Raw genomic sequence first — 17,436 nt, forward strand, 5'->3', positions numbered from 1 at the left:
TAAAGTAGTAGAATCACTTTGGAGGGCTGTTTGGTAATATCCAGTAAAATTGAAGGTTTAATTATATTTCTATGAACCCTAGCACATGTACGCAAGTATTATTTATATAGTGAACATGTGTATTCTAACACTATTTCTCATGGCAAATTTTAGATCAAACTAGTAATTTGGAGTTTTAAAAAAAGAATTGAAGATTCCATGAAAAAGAATTAGATTCATACAGCATTAAAATTAACAAACTAGATATACACATATCCACATAGGTAATTCTTAACATAACAGATTATTACTAAAAATATATATTTAGAGATAAATATAATAGGATAACAATTATACAAAAAATAAAAAATGCAACATATAACATGTGTATCTGTGGACGATAGATACACAAATAATTATAAAACATGCATAACCATGACCCATGCAACTCCAACTTCAGAATACTAACTTCCTCTAGGAGAGGCACAAGTGGAATTGGATATGGGTGAAGCTTCTAAATTTACCTGTACACATTGCTTCTTTATAAGATGAGGGCCTAAAGTAAATTTGACAAAGCCCTGAAATTCATATCTAGTTTTTTCATTTTTCACCTGTCTATGGTATTTGAAATTGTTTTAAAAACGTTGAGACAACAAAGTTAACATTGAAAGTATAGGTAAGAAAAGAAAGCACAGTGGAGAGTCACCCGGCATTGCCCTCATCACCATAACCCAAAACCATTTTTCAGGAGAAATTGCTTCATGGCACTGGGGCTTGCCAACAACGCTACTCTGTAATGAGCTCAGCATTATCTCATACTCGTAAAAGCGTTCATGGCATTTTGCATTTCACAGTTCACTCCTAGGGAACACATTATGGACTGGGAGAATGCAGCTCTCATTGTTGTTCATAATACAAATGCTATGAAGTAAAGTGACAGCTGTCTTTGTTGTTATACCTAAAATTTTATTTGTGCAAAGATACTGAGAAACCATACTCCACTCACCGTGTAACTCCCAATCAGAGCAGTTCTCATGATTTTTTTCAAGTAAGACTGTTATAGACTAGACTGGGTCCCCCTCAAATTTACACATTGAAGTCCTATGAAGTCCTAACCCTCTGGGCTTGGAAATGTGACTTTAAAGAGAGAGAGGGAGGGTCCCTAAAGACATAACTAAGGTTAAACGAGGTAGTATGGGTGGGTCCTGATCTAATATAACTGATGTCTTTCTAAGAAAAGGAGATTAAGACACAGGCACGCCCTGAGTGGGGGCCACATCTGCAAGCCTGGGAGGGAGGCTTGGAGGAGAGTCCCGCCCTTCTGACCCCTTCCGCTTAAAGGTTCAGCATCCAGAATTGTGAGAACATAAATTTCTGTTGAGGCTAGGCATGGTGGCTCACACCTGTAATCCCAGCGCTTTGGGAGGTAGAGGCGAGTGGATCGCCTGAGGTCAGAAGTTTGAGACCAGCCTGGCCAATATGGTAAAACCCCATCATTACTAAAAATACAAAAAATTAGCTGGGCGTGGCGGCAGGCACCTGTAATCCCAGCTACTCAGGAGGCTGAGGCAGGAAAATTGCTTGAACCCAGGAGGTGGAAGTTGCAGTGAGCTGAGGTTGTGCCATTGCACTCCAGCCTGGGCAACAAGAGCAAAATTCTGTCTCAAAAAAAAAAAAATTCTGTTGAAGCCACTCAATTTATGGCACTTTGTCATGGCAGTCCTAGGAAAGAAATGTGAAACAAACAAACGAACAAAAAACCACAAACCAAAACTAGCATATTAAATAATCGGGCAATGCTGACTTTGGTCAGAGAGAAGGAGGATGAGAAGAAATGATATTAATAGATCTCACTATGAAAAATGTCATGGCTAAATTTCCTGGGAGATGCCCTGCAAAAGAGTGGCTGGTATTTCATAATCAAAGACAAAGCGTGTTTGGTATGTTGGTTTGCTTTTTGGCGTTTAAAAGGATAATGTATATTCTGAGATAAAATGCCACTGGTAAATTAATTAACCTGAATTTATGATATTTTGAAATGTCATTTTTAATGACAGAACTCAAGAGTAGAGTTTTAGGGTTTTTTTTATTTTATTTTATTTTTTATTTTTTTATTTTTTGAGACAGAGTTTTGCTCTGCCTTCCAGGCTGGAGTGCAATGGTACAATCTCGGCTCTCTGCAACCTTTGCCTCCTGGGCTCAAATGATTCTCTTGCCTCAGGCTCCTGAGTAGCTGGGATTACAGGCGCCTGCCACCGCGCCCAGCTAACTTTTGTATTTTTTAGCAGAGACGGTTTCACCACGCTGGCCAGGCTGGTCTCAAACTCCTGACCTCAGGTGATCCATTCACCTCGGTCTCCTAAAGTGCTGGGATTACAGGCGTGAGCCACTAAGCCTGGCCAGTTTTAGGTATTCTTAATCCAGCATCTGAACCCTCATAATGTTCTATCTGTTCTCTTTGTCTAAAATGTAACTAACTTTCTAGAAGGAATAGTCTTTAAAAGCACATATTCAAACTGGCATGTGCAGAAAACCAGCACGGCAGTAAAGGAAGGTATCCATTTCTGTTACCAAAATGGAAACTAAGTATTCCACCAGTGTACACTGTAATTTTAATTTTGACAGTCTTCTCAACTGAGTTTCATAATGATTAAAATACTGTGTTTTAAAAAGCATTATGGGATATCCACTACTTAAGCCATAGAGAGTAATATACTCTTGAGATAATAAAGTATAAAATCAATATATTCAACATGTTTTTTGGTCCACCTATGAACTATAAAAGAGCCCGTCTTACAAAAAAAAAAAAAAAAAAAAGAGAGAGAGAAAGAGACAGAAAGATATGAACATGACATTTACTGCAACAAAAATGTCATCGCTTAAAAACATATTCACATAAAACTCTGACCTTTCACTTTGTAGAAAAAACTTTAAGACCAGACAATCCTAGTCACTGATTTCTGATAATTTTGACAGCAAGTATTATGCTATTGTCTCTAACGTATTTTACCTGTTGTTTATAATGGCTATGATCTGTCCAAATTTGCAGGAGATCAAATTGCAAGCCATGAGTGCATAAATTATTGATAAATAATTTGCTCCTGAAAGTAAGAGACTTAAAAGCATGGCCAGTATATTTCAATTCAACTACTGTGAAACAAAAGAACATGCATAAGTTCAAAATAATTAAATATACTTTTATGTCCTTTGTAGGGATATATATGTCTATATATACACAAACACAAACACAGACATACAGCCTGTGAGGTTGGATGCTCTACATTTTAATTTTTGCATAATACCTAATAGGCCTCAAATAGAGTTTACCTCTCTTCTTCCTCAACAAGAGAAACCCCATTTTTATACTTGCGTAATGAGTTACTTCTCTCTACTCTACAGACTAAAGAAAAAGTTGTAAATAATGTATGTTTGTTTTAATATACACATTTAAAAAGCCATGCTCTGAAAATGAAAATATTGCTCTCCAGTCCTCTGCTTCTATATACAAAAATGTGAGTTTAATTTCCAATTTATTAATTCATTTTTGAAAATACATTAATTGATTCAGTGATGTCTATCCATACAAGCAATTTGACTCATCAACTCAGTAAAGTGAATACAAACACACATCAAATCCATTAGAATAATTTATTTTTTTCACTGAATTGATTGTAATTTATCTGAACTCAATGACAAATCTTTCAAAATATGTGAAAACCCTGTTATTATGTACAGCCATAATTGTAACTGGTCTAATTTTCTGGGCTATGACGGTTTCACACAAAGAGAAATATTAACATTCCTTCCATTTCAAATTGACGATTCAACCACATATTACTTTTAATCATATCACTGTTAAAATTTTCATTGAAATTGCAAAAAAATCATAAGACTATTGTTGAAAACAGTATTGCACGTGTTCAGTTAACCATATTTCACTATTTCAAAGAATCACACTTGAAAAACTCCTGTAGCATTTATCATCTAGAAATCTCTGTGAGCCATGATTTTTACATATTTCCAGTAAAATAATTATTTAGATGACAAAAATACCTCTAGGCCTAAGTTTCCTAAAATATCTTGTGAATTGATATTACATATAGGAGAGAGAGAAAGAGTTATTGAGATCATCTTCTCTAAATCACTGTGTTAAAAAAATCAAATAATGGTTAAAGAAAATTTGGTACACTTTCAGGGTGTATTCCTAAGCATTCTAACTGTTTGAAAAGTGACAATGTTAACAATCCTATGGTTTGGCTGTGTCCCCTCCCAAATCTCTTCTTGAATTGTAAATCCCACAATTCCCACCTATCGTGGGACAAATCTGGTGGGAGGTAATTGAATCATGTGGGTGGGTCTTTCCCATGCTGTTCTCCTGATAGTAAGTCCCACAAGATCTGATGGTTTTAAAAATGGGATTTTTCCCTGCACAAGTTCTCTCTCATGTGCGTGCACCCACTCTTTCTCTCTCTCTGTCTCTCATGCCTGCCGTCATCCATGTAAAATGTGACTTGCTCCTCCTTGCCTTCCTCCATGATTGTGAGGTCTCCCCAGCCATCTGGAACTGTAAATCCATTAAATCTCTTTTTCTTCCTAGTCTTGGGTCTGTCTTTATCAGCAGCATGAAAATGGACTAATACAGTACAACAATCATATGGTAATGTTTTACAGACTGCTTGATCTCTTGAGAATGCATAACCCCAAACTAGTTTATTTTTTGTTTGCTTTGGGAAAACATAAGTTAACTCAAGAATATATTCCAGTCTTTATGTTACTAAAACATTGTAATAGTGTTTTTATCAATGATGCCGAGGTCACTGCTCTACAAAGATTAAAGAAACTTACCATCAAACACTTCCAGTGCATCAAACTGCTTTTCACTTTGAAATGTGTCCACAAAGATGGTAATGTTGTAGTTTGGTTCCACTTTAATACTCCAAGAGCAAGTCTGGGAGTTAAAATAATTACCCGGATACCCTGGACTGAGAATGACTCCCGATGATCCAGTCCGGACTTCATTTGCTGGGCATTGTGCTGGAGAGAAAAGTACCAGCAAAAGTTTGCTTTAATAAAATGATTCCAACTGCAATAGGATAGTTTCTATCCCTGTATAAACAAGTCAATGAAAGGAAAAAGCAATCTTATTGAGCTCTGGCCAAATTTAATACCGAATGCAAACACAGAGGGAGGGCAACATTGAATAATCATGAGAATTGTGCATCTTTCTCTTTGCAGTTCTCTACACTCAGCCTGCACACTCCTTTGGCCCCTGCATCTCCCACACACCTTAATTTGGGGCAGATGCATCCTGGATTTCATCATACAATGCAAGATTTCCTAACTCTACTACAAAGAAGAACCTCACCATTTCAAAAGAGTATTACAGAAATACAGTGAAATGTTATGCAATAAGAAAAGAAAACTCATATTTATTTTGGCTTTAAATATACAGTAGGCCCCCTTACCCCTGGGGATACATTCCAAGAGCCCTAGTGATGCCTGATGCTGCAGATGGTCCAGAATCCTACGTCGTTTCTGGTGCAATCACATCATACAGGGCAATGGATATACTGGACAAAGCTGGGATTCATGTCCTGGGTGAGACATAGCCCGGGGATGATGACAGATTTCATCAGGCTATTCAGAACAGTGCAAAATTTTAAATGTGTTGTTATTTCTGGAATTTTTCATTTAATATTTTCAGACTGTGCTTGATCACAGGTAACTGAAATTGCAGAATGGAAAACCTCGGATCGGGGGTGGGGGGAACTACTGTACTTAGCATAGTAATATTTAAACGTTCGATGTGATTGCTCGGGACCCTGGGAAGAGGAAGAATTAGAGACCTGGTCTCAATCCCACATGGGACATCTCAGCAGGAGCCCTGATTCCTAAGGGATGAATTAATTGTAAATGTATCATGAAGATACTATGGATACATCGTATCTTTTCTCCTCTTGCTTTTTGAAAAATTATTATTCAACTACTTCCAGTTTAATCAACATAAAAACAATCTGCAGAGATCTGGACATGCAAAGCAAAACACTAGAGTCTCCTAATTAGTAATTTCTCTCATCACTGAATTATCTTCCAGAAACAGTTTGTGTATAAAACTATTAAGGGAAATTTTTTTCTATTACTGGTAATGGTTCAAAAATAAAAAATGTATATCAAAATTACTTGTAGAGTGTTAAGAGTTCTATAGTTAATCACCTTTTCCTTAATGAAAAAGAGCTTTTGTTAAATTTATTTATTGAGTTATCGCCTTTTAATTAGTTAAATGTGTGCTATTTATACATACATTTCAAGATAGAAGCTTTTCAAACAGATGAGCGAAGCTTATGATATGTGTTTTTATTCAAGTAACTGCCTTTTGAAAAGTAATTTATTTCCTATTTTCTTCCATTTATCTTAGCATTCTAATTAACATATATTTTAAAATTTAGAAAATGTTTAGACATAAGACCACCAATCATAAAACATTTCATAGAACTCTTTAAATAACATATATTTTAGGTGAGATTTTAAAAATACTTACAATGATAAATTAATGGCAATAATATAAACTAAAATAATCCTAATCAGAACACACAGATTGAAACAACTGAGTTAAAGGTCTAATTTTCTTCTGTGATGGTGACCTCATCGCTTTGTAAAATACACGATGCCCATTCAAAGTTAATGTGATATTTTAAGAAAGAAAAAATAATGAAATTAGGGTCCGTGCCTGTGTATATCTGTGCAGGCTAGGACCTCAAGTTTTAGAAGCTCCACAGACCCGCCTTGACTTTGCAATAACAACCAGGGCTTTCCTTGGCTCTGACGTGTAAGTACAGAGTAATAATAGCTCCCCCTCAGGGTTTTAATTAGAGCCAATATACACAATTTTTTTTTTTTTAAATCTAAAGCACTATGTGGGCAGAAACTGTTGTAAGGACTAGGGATGATTACACCACATGCCTACCTTTTCATAACTGTTAGGGACCAACCGCCCCAAAAAGCTTCTCGGTACTGCCGACACTCCCCCCAAACCCCTCTGTACTGCCCACCTCTCCCCTTAATGCCCTGCAACTCTTCTCCGTGCCGTTCACCCTTCCCCCAAGCCTCTTTACATTTCTAAGCCTTATCCAAGCGCTGCAGTGAAGCCAGCAGACTTCACTCATCAGACCTTACTACAATAAGCAAACCGCAATTACAAACCATCCAGACCACACAGAGGGAGGTCGTGGGAAGCATAAATAAACTTTACCTACACCCTCCTGTAAGTTCCTTCATCTAGCTACTGCCATAAACGTCACAAGATAATATATGGCAAAGTTAACCAACAAACAACCCCAGGGTCCCTCTCCCCCATATAAACCCCTCATTTTGTAAGCTCAGGGCTGCCTCTTCTGTCTGTGGTGGAGCAGATGGCAGGTTCAATAAACTTATTCACCTGACTTTGGGTCTATTCATCCTTCTCTAGGCTGACCTTATACTAACAAAAAAATGCTACCAGAGGGCGTTTCATTTTGTGGGATTACACTTGAAAAACAGTTAGCCAATCTCTCTACCCTGCATTTTTATGAGGACTGAGATTTTATAACTGCAGCTATAGTTATCAGTTGACATTGGAACTTCAGGCCATCTGGAAGTAAGAAACCTTTACTGAGTTGCTAAAATCCACCTGAAAACCTATTCGCACATCCTGGGGTTTGACAGCAGTGCAATGATCTAACCCAGAAGCAGCATTTTAAGCATAGCCATTCTTATTCCTTTCATATTTGAAATGCTGATTTTGTTTCTTAGGAAAGACAAAATGAAAATATAAACAACTTGTTATATAATTCCCACTAGTTTACAGAGGACTCTCAGTTTCTACAATTCTCTCCAACCAAAGAGGTAGCAGATAATTTGTAGAGAATTTGTACCATTTTTCATTTGTATCATTTATCATTTGTATCATTTTTCTTAAAATACTTAGCAATACTTTTTTCAGTCATACATATTGTTTTCAAAATTCATGTGGGGTTTTTTGGTGTTTTGAGGTTTGGTTTTGTTTTTTAACTTGTTTGTTTGTTTGAGATAGGGTCTCACTCTGTCACCCAAGCCAGGCTGGAGGGCAGTGGCAGGATCACGGCTCACTGCAGCCTTGACCTCCCAGGCTCAAACAATCCTCCCACCTCAGCTGCCCGAGTAGCTGGGACTACAGGCGCACACCACCCCTCCTGGCTAATTTTTGTATTTTTATTTTAGAAATGTTGTTTTGCCATTTTGCCCAGGCTGGTCTCCAACTCCTGGGCTCAAGCAATCCTTCCACCTCAACCTCCACCATGCTCGGCCTAAGAAGCATTTGGAGGTGTTTACCCATGAGCGAAAGTGATTTGTTTTCTTGTGTTTCTTCTGCTCTTTCATATGGAACCACTCCTTCTCCTCAGTGTTATAAACTGTTGCTTAGAGCAATACTCAGTTGGAGTGGGAGAGCTGAAAGGGACCGCAGTGCGGTCCTATAGCTGAGATGTTTATTTCTTAGCAGCAATCACACATTAGAAAACAACTGTGTCTCCACTTGGGAATCTGGGAAACCTCTCACCATAGGGGAGCACCTGTCAAAAACACACGTGAAAGCTTGCCTCTCTCAGACATCACCTGCGCCTCGAGTTATGATCCTTCTGCACAATGTTAGTGCCCCAGATTGTTTTTAAAGAAAAATAAAATGTGAGGCTTAAAACCCAAAGCATCTTATTCAACGCATCTCATAGGCCTTCAGCAAAACTAATAGCAGATGAGGATTAGTACTCTAGGATTAATAGCATAAATTGGGATTTATGAGTAACTAAGATTATTCTTAAAAGCACCTATAGGTATGACAGAATTGGAGAAGGTGAGCCCTCTGTGAACTAGGGAAAAGGCTGCCCCAGAGCCCTTGTGATGCCTGCTATTATCCAGCACATATAGAAGGAAGCTGGAGCTGGGCAGCGGCGGTTTTTATGTCGCCTCCATCTGCTGCTTTCGAATGATCATTATCAGAAGGTCACTGAATCTCCTTAATGTTCACTGAATACGTATGGTGTTTTTTTTTTTTTTTTCTAAAGAAATGAATATTCTAAAAACTATTGAAGGATCCCCCAAGGTCCACAGGATGAAGAAACCTGACGTTGAAGACCTTTAAAGTCAGGTCCTAGTCTAGCTTTCCAGCCTGATTTAATTTACCACCTCTTCCCCCAAAACACCCTGAGAGCAAGCAGTAGGAAGCCATCTCCTCCTTTTTCCTCAACGCCACACCCTCCTTTGTGTTTCCAAACCTTTGTTATTAATTCTCTTCACTTTTTGAAATGCCTCTCTTTCCTTAACAGGAGAAAAGCCACTTCTGTGATGTCTCTTACTCAGGTTTTTCTACATTAAGATGAGTGTCTAGCACAGTAATATCTCCATATAAGGCTGACTACTTTTTTTTTGAGACGGAGTCTCGCTCTGACGCCCAGGCTGGAGTGCAATGACACGATCTCAGCTCACTGCAAGCTCCACCTCCGGGGTTCACACCATTCTCCTGCCTCAGCCTCCGGAGTAGCTGGGACTACAGGGGCCCACAACCATGCCTGGCTAATTTTTTTTTGTATTTTTAGTAGAGATAGGTTTTCACCATGTTACCCAGGATGGTCTCGATCTCCTGACCTTGTGATCCGCTCCCCTCAGCCTCCCAAAGTAATAGGATTATAGGCATGAGCCACCGCATCCGACCAATCCTGACTTTCAAAGAACAATGCACTCTCCTTGTTTCCCTAAAATTGGTGATAATTTTGTTTCTTTCTTTTTCTTTTTTTTTTTTTTTTTTTTTAGACAGAGTCTTGCTCTGTCGCTCAGGCTGGAGTGCAGTGACGTGATCTCAGCTCACTGCAACCTCCACATGCGGGGTTCAAGCAATTCTCCAGCCTCAGCCTCCAGAGCAGCTGGGATTACAGATGTCTGCCACCACATCTGGCTAATTTTTGTATTTTTAGTAGAGACAGCGTTTCACCATGTTGGCCAGGCTGGTGTCGAACTCCTGACCTCAGGTGATCCTCCCACCTCGGCCTCCAAAAGTGCTGGGATGGTGATAAGTTTCAAAGCACAACTTCTAAAAGTGTGGTTATGACATTTGAAGAAGACAGACTAATAGCTAACGTAATTTTTCTGAAGAATTTATTGGGAGATGGGCCCCCACTTGAGCACAATCGAATCAATCAAATAGTAGAAAAGTACTTAAAGAAAGATGATAATTAAGTGATTCAGTGATTAAGGATTTGGTAAAAGACATCTAGGGTCTTATTTCCTGTTTGTTTTCAAATGATGAGTTGTTTAGAGAATGACAGCTAAGATCACTCTCCGGTTGTTTTAAACAAATTGACTCGTGACTTGAAAGAGAAGAGAACTAGGTTATCCTGTTCGCCTCCTGAGGTGTGGAGTGGGGCTTGGGAAACTTCAGCGTGAGTAAAAGTCGGCAAATTTTGTCTGCAGAATGCTCCCTGTAACTGTCTGTGACAAATGAGGAAATTTAGAGAATAACGCTCATGTTGTGTTGATTTAGACATGTGCCACTTAAAGATGGGGACAGGCTGGGAGAAATGCATCTTTAGGGGATCATGTCATCATGCAAAGATAACAGCATGCACTTCTGAGGGAGGCCACTCTCACCAATGCAGGCCTCCATAACAACTGTTTCCATACTAACGGAGTGTTTCAGTTACATATTAAAAGCTGAAAGAGCCAGCGCCTTTATACAAAGCCTGGAACGGAGTGTTTCCGTTAAATATTAAAAGCTGTAAGAGCCAGCGCCTTTATACAAAGCCTGGAAGGTAACAAAGAGTTTTCCCTAGGCTTCTCCTGGGCCTTGAAGCATGACAAGATAACAAAAGAATTCTTAACAGGAGGACCCTTTTAGAATTCAACGAGTTTTATTAGCGGTCTGAAGAAACTCCCCAGGCCTCCACAAACAAGTTTATTGGGGTCTAAAGGAGCTCCCCAAACCTTTGTGATTTAGCGGGAGACAAAACAAGACTAATCACCCCAGCACCTGGACCCATTTAGATTCAGTAAACTTACTGAGGCTCCAGAGGAAGGTCTTCAGCACTCAGACCTTAGCTGTAGATTTTAAAAAGTTAATCACTTATGTCTTTAAATAAATACACACTTACACATAGACATATAGCTAAGGAGGTACATAAGCTCTAAAAAACTTTGTAATTTTGAGTTGGTCTGGCGATAATTTCCAGGCCTTCTCCCTGTAACCAGTTATAGAAATAAAAACTCTCTTCCTCCTCAGTTTATCTGCATCTCGTTATTGGGACATGAAAAATAGCAGCCCCACCTTCAGTTTGGTCCAGGAACACTTAAACACACCCAGATGGTACAGCCTGCTACACAATTAAGCCATATGGTGTAGCCTATTGCTCCCAAACCACACACCTGCACAGTATGAGACTGTACTGAAGACTGTAGGCAACTGGAACACAAGGGTAAGCATTCTCACATCTGAACTCATCTCAACATTGAAAAGGTAATGCGTGGCCCCGTAGTACTGCAACTGCTAGACGTCACTCGGTGGTAGGAATTTTCAGCTTCATTATAATCTTACAGGACCACATTTATCTACACGGTCTGTCACGGTTCAAAACGTCATGCAGTGCGTGATTATTCTCTGCTCTTGGCTTGTCATGAATTAAACGTCATTTAAATAAGAACTTGGTTCATCTGGAGAGGACACCCTAATCAAATTCCTTTTTTTTTTAAAAAAAAAAAATGATGTAGTTTTGCTCTTGTTGCCCAGGCTGGAGTGCAATGGCACAATCTTGGCTCACTGCAACCTCTGCCTCCCAGGTTCCAGTGATTCTCCTGCCTCAGCCTCCCAAGTAGCTGGGATTACAGGCACGTGCCACCACACGCAGCTAATTTTGTATTTTCAGTAGACACGGGGTTTCTTCATGTTGGTCACGGTGGTCTTGAACTCCTAACCTCAGGTGATCTGCCCACCTCGGCCTCCCAAAGTTCTGGGATTACAGGCATGAGCCACTGTCCCTGACCAAAATTCCCTGTTTTTAGAGCAGCACATTTGATACATACGTATGCCTTTCTTCTCTTCTCAGCTAAGATCACCTTTAGTTAAAGTCTTCTATTCTGAGAAACTTGAGGCTTTGTTTGTTGGGATTAAAATGTACCTTAAAAATGTGAAGGTTTGCCTGGGTTCATTTCCATATAGAATGGCAGAAGATGAACACTTTTTATATCCCCCCACCTTGAGGAAAGAATCCATAAATAGACCATTGTTGCTCCTGGAAGATGGCACAGACGTTGGCTTTCTTCTAAGAAGACAGTGACTTGGATCTCCTGACTTTGCACCCAATGCAATCCCCACTTCTAAGTAAGGCAACCTAGAGGCACAGATTTTGATGACTTCCACAGCCTACGGTCTGCTTAGCGTTTAAACAGACGAGCAGGCCAAGGGTCTGGCCCTCTGCTCAGGTAGCGGTTTCCTGTAATCAATAGTTCTCATGTAGATACAACTTCAATGTTAATATTTTTTCAAAAAAAAAATCTAAGTTATTATGGATATCTGATAATAATTCATTCCAAAATGTATGCCAATTTTTCTTCAGATGTAGAAGACTGTTTCTCTCTTTCAGGGTGCCTGGAATCCTGCCTCATTCCAGAATGAGAATGCACAAAGTTATCAGACTTTTTTTTTTCTTTTCTTTTTTTTTTTTTTTGAGACAGAGTTTTGCTGTGTCTCCCAGGCTGGAGAGCAATGGCAAGATCTCGGCTCACTGCAACCTCCACCTCCTGGGTTCAAGCAATTCTCCTGACTCAGCCACCTGAGTAGCTGGCATTACAGGCATGCGCCACCACGCCCAGTTAATTTTGTATTTTCAGTAGAGACAGGTTTCTCCCTGTTGGTCAGGCTGGTCTCGACCTCCCAGCCTCAGGTGATCCACCCACCTCGGCCTCACAGAATGCTGGGATTACAGGCGTGCGCCACCGCGCCCGGCCAGTTATCAGACCTTTGAAGAGGATCCATGCACAGGTGTGAGCATCTGCAAAACCACTGCGAAGTCGATACTTTTGCAAAGAAAACTTCCATTTACAGGGAAGGCAGTTAACATTATAAAACACTCAAAAAGATAAATTCATTTAATACTCGGTGAGTCTTTACAACAATCTCAAAAATAAAGCGGATAAATCATCCTCTGTGTGCACAGTGCAGGGAAGAGTGACTTGCTCAAAGCTGCCTGATGGGGTGACTCTGGCTCCGGGTCCTGTCTTCCTAAATCGTGGGCCCTTATAGCTGTGTCACTCACCCTAAGGAATGACAATAGTTGGATTCCTTGAAAGAGCCACAATGCTCAAAAGCACTACATCTGCACTTCACTATGATTTTGAAGTCATAAAAACTATTCTAATTAGGAAAGCTTTTGGATAGGTGAACTAATGATGTTTCGACTTACTTGAGCATTTGAGCTTATGTAAAGTTTTTCAAGCCTTTTTCATTCAATGATACTTGAAAGTGGTGTCTATTAATATTTTAAAAGTAATCTACTTGTCTTCTAATAGATTAAATCAACAGATTCAGCCTCAGTATCTTGTTCTATTATTGTATATTGTCTATACTCTTGCACATGGTCTACATATGTTAAACATATGTGAGAAAAACTTGAGATGTGCATGTTTCATTTTTTATAAATTTACATCAAAATATTAAACACCAGCTAATTATATGCATGCTGAGGTATTTATAGCAAAACGAAATGATATTCAAAATTTGCCTTGAAATGCATCAAAAATATAGCGTAGCTTAATAAATGGCTAGAAAGATAACAGATAGGCATGTGATAAAGGAAATACTTTGTAAGTTTTCATAGCGGAAGCTAGGTGGTATATATTCAGGTGTTACATTATTCAGGTATTAAAATTATTTCAACTTTGCCATGTTTGAACATTTACATGATAAATTGCTGTGAGAAACATGATTTCTTATTTGATATGGCCTTGGTTTATTTTCTAGGACTAGATAAAAGAAAAAGCATCATTAGATATTTCTGTTAGCATGTTAGTTTCATTGCAATGGGATCAGAGCACAGATTAAGTGCAGGCTGGGTACAGTGGCTCATGCCTGCAATCCTAGCAATCTGGGAAGCTGAGGCAGGTAGATAGCTCGAGTCCAGAAGTTCAAGACCAGCCTGGGTAACATGTTGAAAACCCATTTCTACAAAAAAAAAAAAAAAAATCCAAAAATTAGCCAGGCATGGTGGTGCATGCATGTAGTCCCAGTTACTCAGGAGGCTGAGGCAGGAGGATCACCTGAGACCAGGGAGGTTGAGGCTGTGGTGAGCCATGATTGCACCACTGTACTCCCACCTGGGTGACAGAGTAAGACCCTATCTCCAAGATAAATAAATAAATAATAAACAAATAAATAAGTTCACATCTATACAAAGAAATGCAGACCAATACAAACAATACAATTTTCCATGTTGAATAAGTTTATGTAGTTTTAGTATCGAACAGTGCATACCTTCACATGTTGGGAGAGAACCCTCAAACTGCAACTGGGAACTGAGCTTGCAAGTCAGAATGTCGGTCCCCACCAAGGTGTACCCGGGGTGGCACTGGTACTTCACAAAATCTCCTAGAAGAGTCAATGCAACAAACCAGGAAATTGTGTGTGACCTTCTGAGTGTGTGAAGGTGTGACACATGTAGGACTACTTAAATGAATTAAATCAACTTGCAAATCTTTTTAGAAACTATGTCTGTATTTATTTTTAGTCTTTTAAAAATAATACCGTTTTAAGTTCTTAATTTATAAAAATGCTCTATTAAGCTTAGCCGATATTAGTACTGAAATGATGTGGCAGCTTTTCTTCCTTGACTGAGGCATCCGTGTTGGTTTCCCTTCCCCAGTGATTGCTGACGAAAAGAAAAAAAAAGTAAAGTAGAAGCTATGGTTTAAGCAAGACTGTAAAATCAAATGGCTTTACAGCATCCACAGAGACTCATCTCTGACCTTGGTACTTAGCACAATGTTCCAATTAACTAAGCCAGGGTGAGGACAGCAGAAATTGGGTCACGTAGTTTGACCAGTGGTCTGAAACACAGGGCAGAGTTTTATAACTGGGGCTGAAAAATCCTGGGTTGCAATAACTATACCATAAACATATGCCATCACTGCTTTCTCAGTATGACCAGAAGAGTATTGAATAAATTAGATCATTAATGTAAAAAGATACAGCAGAAATCCTAAATATCATCACTAAATATTTTCTCTTATTATATCCCAGTTTCAATGAAATGTCACTGTTATGTAATCATCCTTTCAGCCGCAAATGATTCAGATTTTTCTCAAGTGCATGAATGTGTCCCCCTAACTGAAAGCAAATATCTGCCCAAGTCTGTCTCTGAATACTTTATTAAAAACTATGAACTACCAAATGTTGTAGAGGAAAAAAATGTTCAAACTGACATCAAAATTCAAATGGCAAAACAAAAAAAAATCATGGTAATGAAGAGGGACAGACATTTTCTATTTGATACATGACCTCCGTATAAGTTCTCAGCAATACTTTAAGGATAGTTTGTTCTTTGTTTCTGTTTTTGTTTCTCTGACAAATTACTCATTAACTTGTCTGAGTAATGATTACAATGAGAAGTGGGTGTAAAAAAATGTCGTGCTGAATTCATGGTATTGTAATGAAGAAAGTATTACCTATTTCGAAATCATCATCCTCAGTAAGCATTTCTGCCTGTGGAACCGCTGGGGGAGGTTGACATTTCTTGAGCTGAAATGCTAAATGATTAATGGAAAGAATAATAATAATTGCAATTACACTTGCTGAATAAACACAACTATTACAAAACATTCATCTTGCAGTTGTTATAATGCTTAAGTACACGGACTGAAATGTCTCTATTCCTGAATCATAGCTTTATAAAATTCCCAAGCTTCAAATGTTCATATTATTATTTAGTGCCAAAAAACAGTTAAAGCCCAAGGAAAAAAGTGTACAATTATTTTTTAAAGTATACCATTTAAATAAACACACTTTACAGATGTTTGGAATTCTGCAAGAATGACTCAACAGTCACAACCTGGCTCCCTGTCCATGTGCAGATTTGATAACGTCTGCCCTGTCCCGTGTCCTGAGGAATTCTGTAGGTGGCAGTGTTCGTGAGAGATAAGCGATTGATTGACAGATGTTCTACATATCGTTTAGAGTGCATTCCCAGGATTATTGGAGGTTTGCTTTCACACCATTTATAGTTACATGACATTTGCTATAACACCTTATCTTGAGACAGGGATGAGTAAATCTATAAAAGGTACCAAATCTCTTTCAATGGTCTTCATCTTAGAGTTTCACTTAGGATACATGTATCTTGGAATAAATCCAAGCTGGATACGATGTGAAATAATAAAGACATCATTAAACAAAAAAAGGACCACAGGAAACGCTGGCCTCCAGTGCAAAAGAATCATACACGCCCTCGGCTGAATCAAGAAACTTCAGCTGGAAACAAGGCGTGGGACAACACTGCAGGAAACACCACATGGAATTCTCAGTCTTAACTAACGGAGTGAAAATCAACTGACCGTGGAAATTGAGGACAAAGAAGCCTCCATTTGAAAAGTCGCTGTGGAACTTGAGCAGGACTTGGTTGGTGGAGCTATACGCCGTTTCGAGGGCTGTGTTGCCACTGAAAACTCCCAGCTGGGGTGAGTTCTGATCGGGACCGTCCCTAGGAAAGACAGAAAGAGGTGGCTGGCTAAGGATATTTACTTCTGAGTGAGATTTATGGAAACTTTGGCTAATGAATTAATTTTTTTAATAAAAGCAATAAAACATATGCATTCTCAGGATACTGTGTTTGTAAACATCAAGATGTTGAATGTCCACAAAGTTGAGGAACCCTCCAGTCTCTGTCTTTCATTAATGTTCCACAGGCACTCGGCACTTGTCAAATGTCAACACTCACCGGTGCTGGTGGCTCATGCCTGTCATCCCAGCACTTTGGGAGGCCAAGGCAGGCAGATCACCTGAGGTCAGGAGTTTGAGACCAGCCTGGCCAACATGGTGAAACCCTGTCTCTACTAAAATTACAAAAATTAGCTGGGCCTGGTGGCACGCACTTGTAGTCCCAGCTACTCGGCAGGCTAAGGCAGGAGAATTGCTTGAACCCAGGAGGCGCTGGTTCCAGTGAGCCAAGATCGCGCCACTGCACTCCAGCTGTGCGACAGGGCAAGACTCTGTCTCAAAAAGAAATAAATTAAAAAAATAAAATAAAAATGTCAACACCTGTGAGATTTTCCATTCTAAATATGGAGCTTAATCTATGGGGCATGGCCAACCACAGAATGCTGTTTTGTTTTGGTTTTAAAACGGCAGTTTCATTGTGGTCAACCTAATATTTCAAATTCTGTTTCTCCTCACTCTCACATCCACTGACTCTG

General features: G+C 39.2%; 1 protein-coding gene across 5 annotated transcripts in view, besides 1 other annotated feature; it reads right to left on the bottom strand.

Annotated features, from left to right (window-relative positions):
• Positions 1–17,436, bottom strand: part of CSMD1 (CUB and Sushi multiple domains 1) — a 2,059,554-nt gene that overhangs the window by 156,664 nt on the left and 1,885,454 nt on the right. For all 5 annotated transcript variants that reach the window (XM_011534752.3, NM_033225.6, XM_011534753.4 and 2 more), the window contains 4 exons: positions 16,579–16,724; positions 15,694–15,774; positions 14,504–14,617; positions 4,825–5,013 (listed from right to left, as the gene is read on the bottom strand). In XM_011534752.3, the coding sequence (XP_011533054.1) occupies positions 4,825–5,013; positions 14,504–14,617; positions 15,694–15,774; positions 16,579–16,724 (530 nt within the window). The remainder of the gene's footprint in view (positions 1–4,824; positions 5,014–14,503; positions 14,618–15,693; positions 15,775–16,578; positions 16,725–17,436) is intronic.
• Positions 15,175–16,374: an enhancer, noted in NCBI's record as "BRD4-independent group 4 enhancer chr8:2964721-2965920 (GRCh37/hg19 assembly coordinates)". NCBI's record gives its function as "activates an origin of replication core promoter dependent on BRD2, P300/CBP, MED14 and CDK7 cofactors, and independent of BRD4, by STARR-seq in HCT116 cells {active_cell/tissue: HCT116}" and the evidence as "EXISTENCE:reporter gene assay evidence [ECO:0000049][PMID:35650434]".

This window comes from Homo sapiens, chromosome 8 (assembly GCF_000001405.40).
Source record: "Homo sapiens chromosome 8, GRCh38.p14 Primary Assembly".
In the NCBI taxonomy this organism is placed as follows: domain Eukaryota; kingdom Metazoa; phylum Chordata; class Mammalia; order Primates; family Hominidae; genus Homo; species Homo sapiens.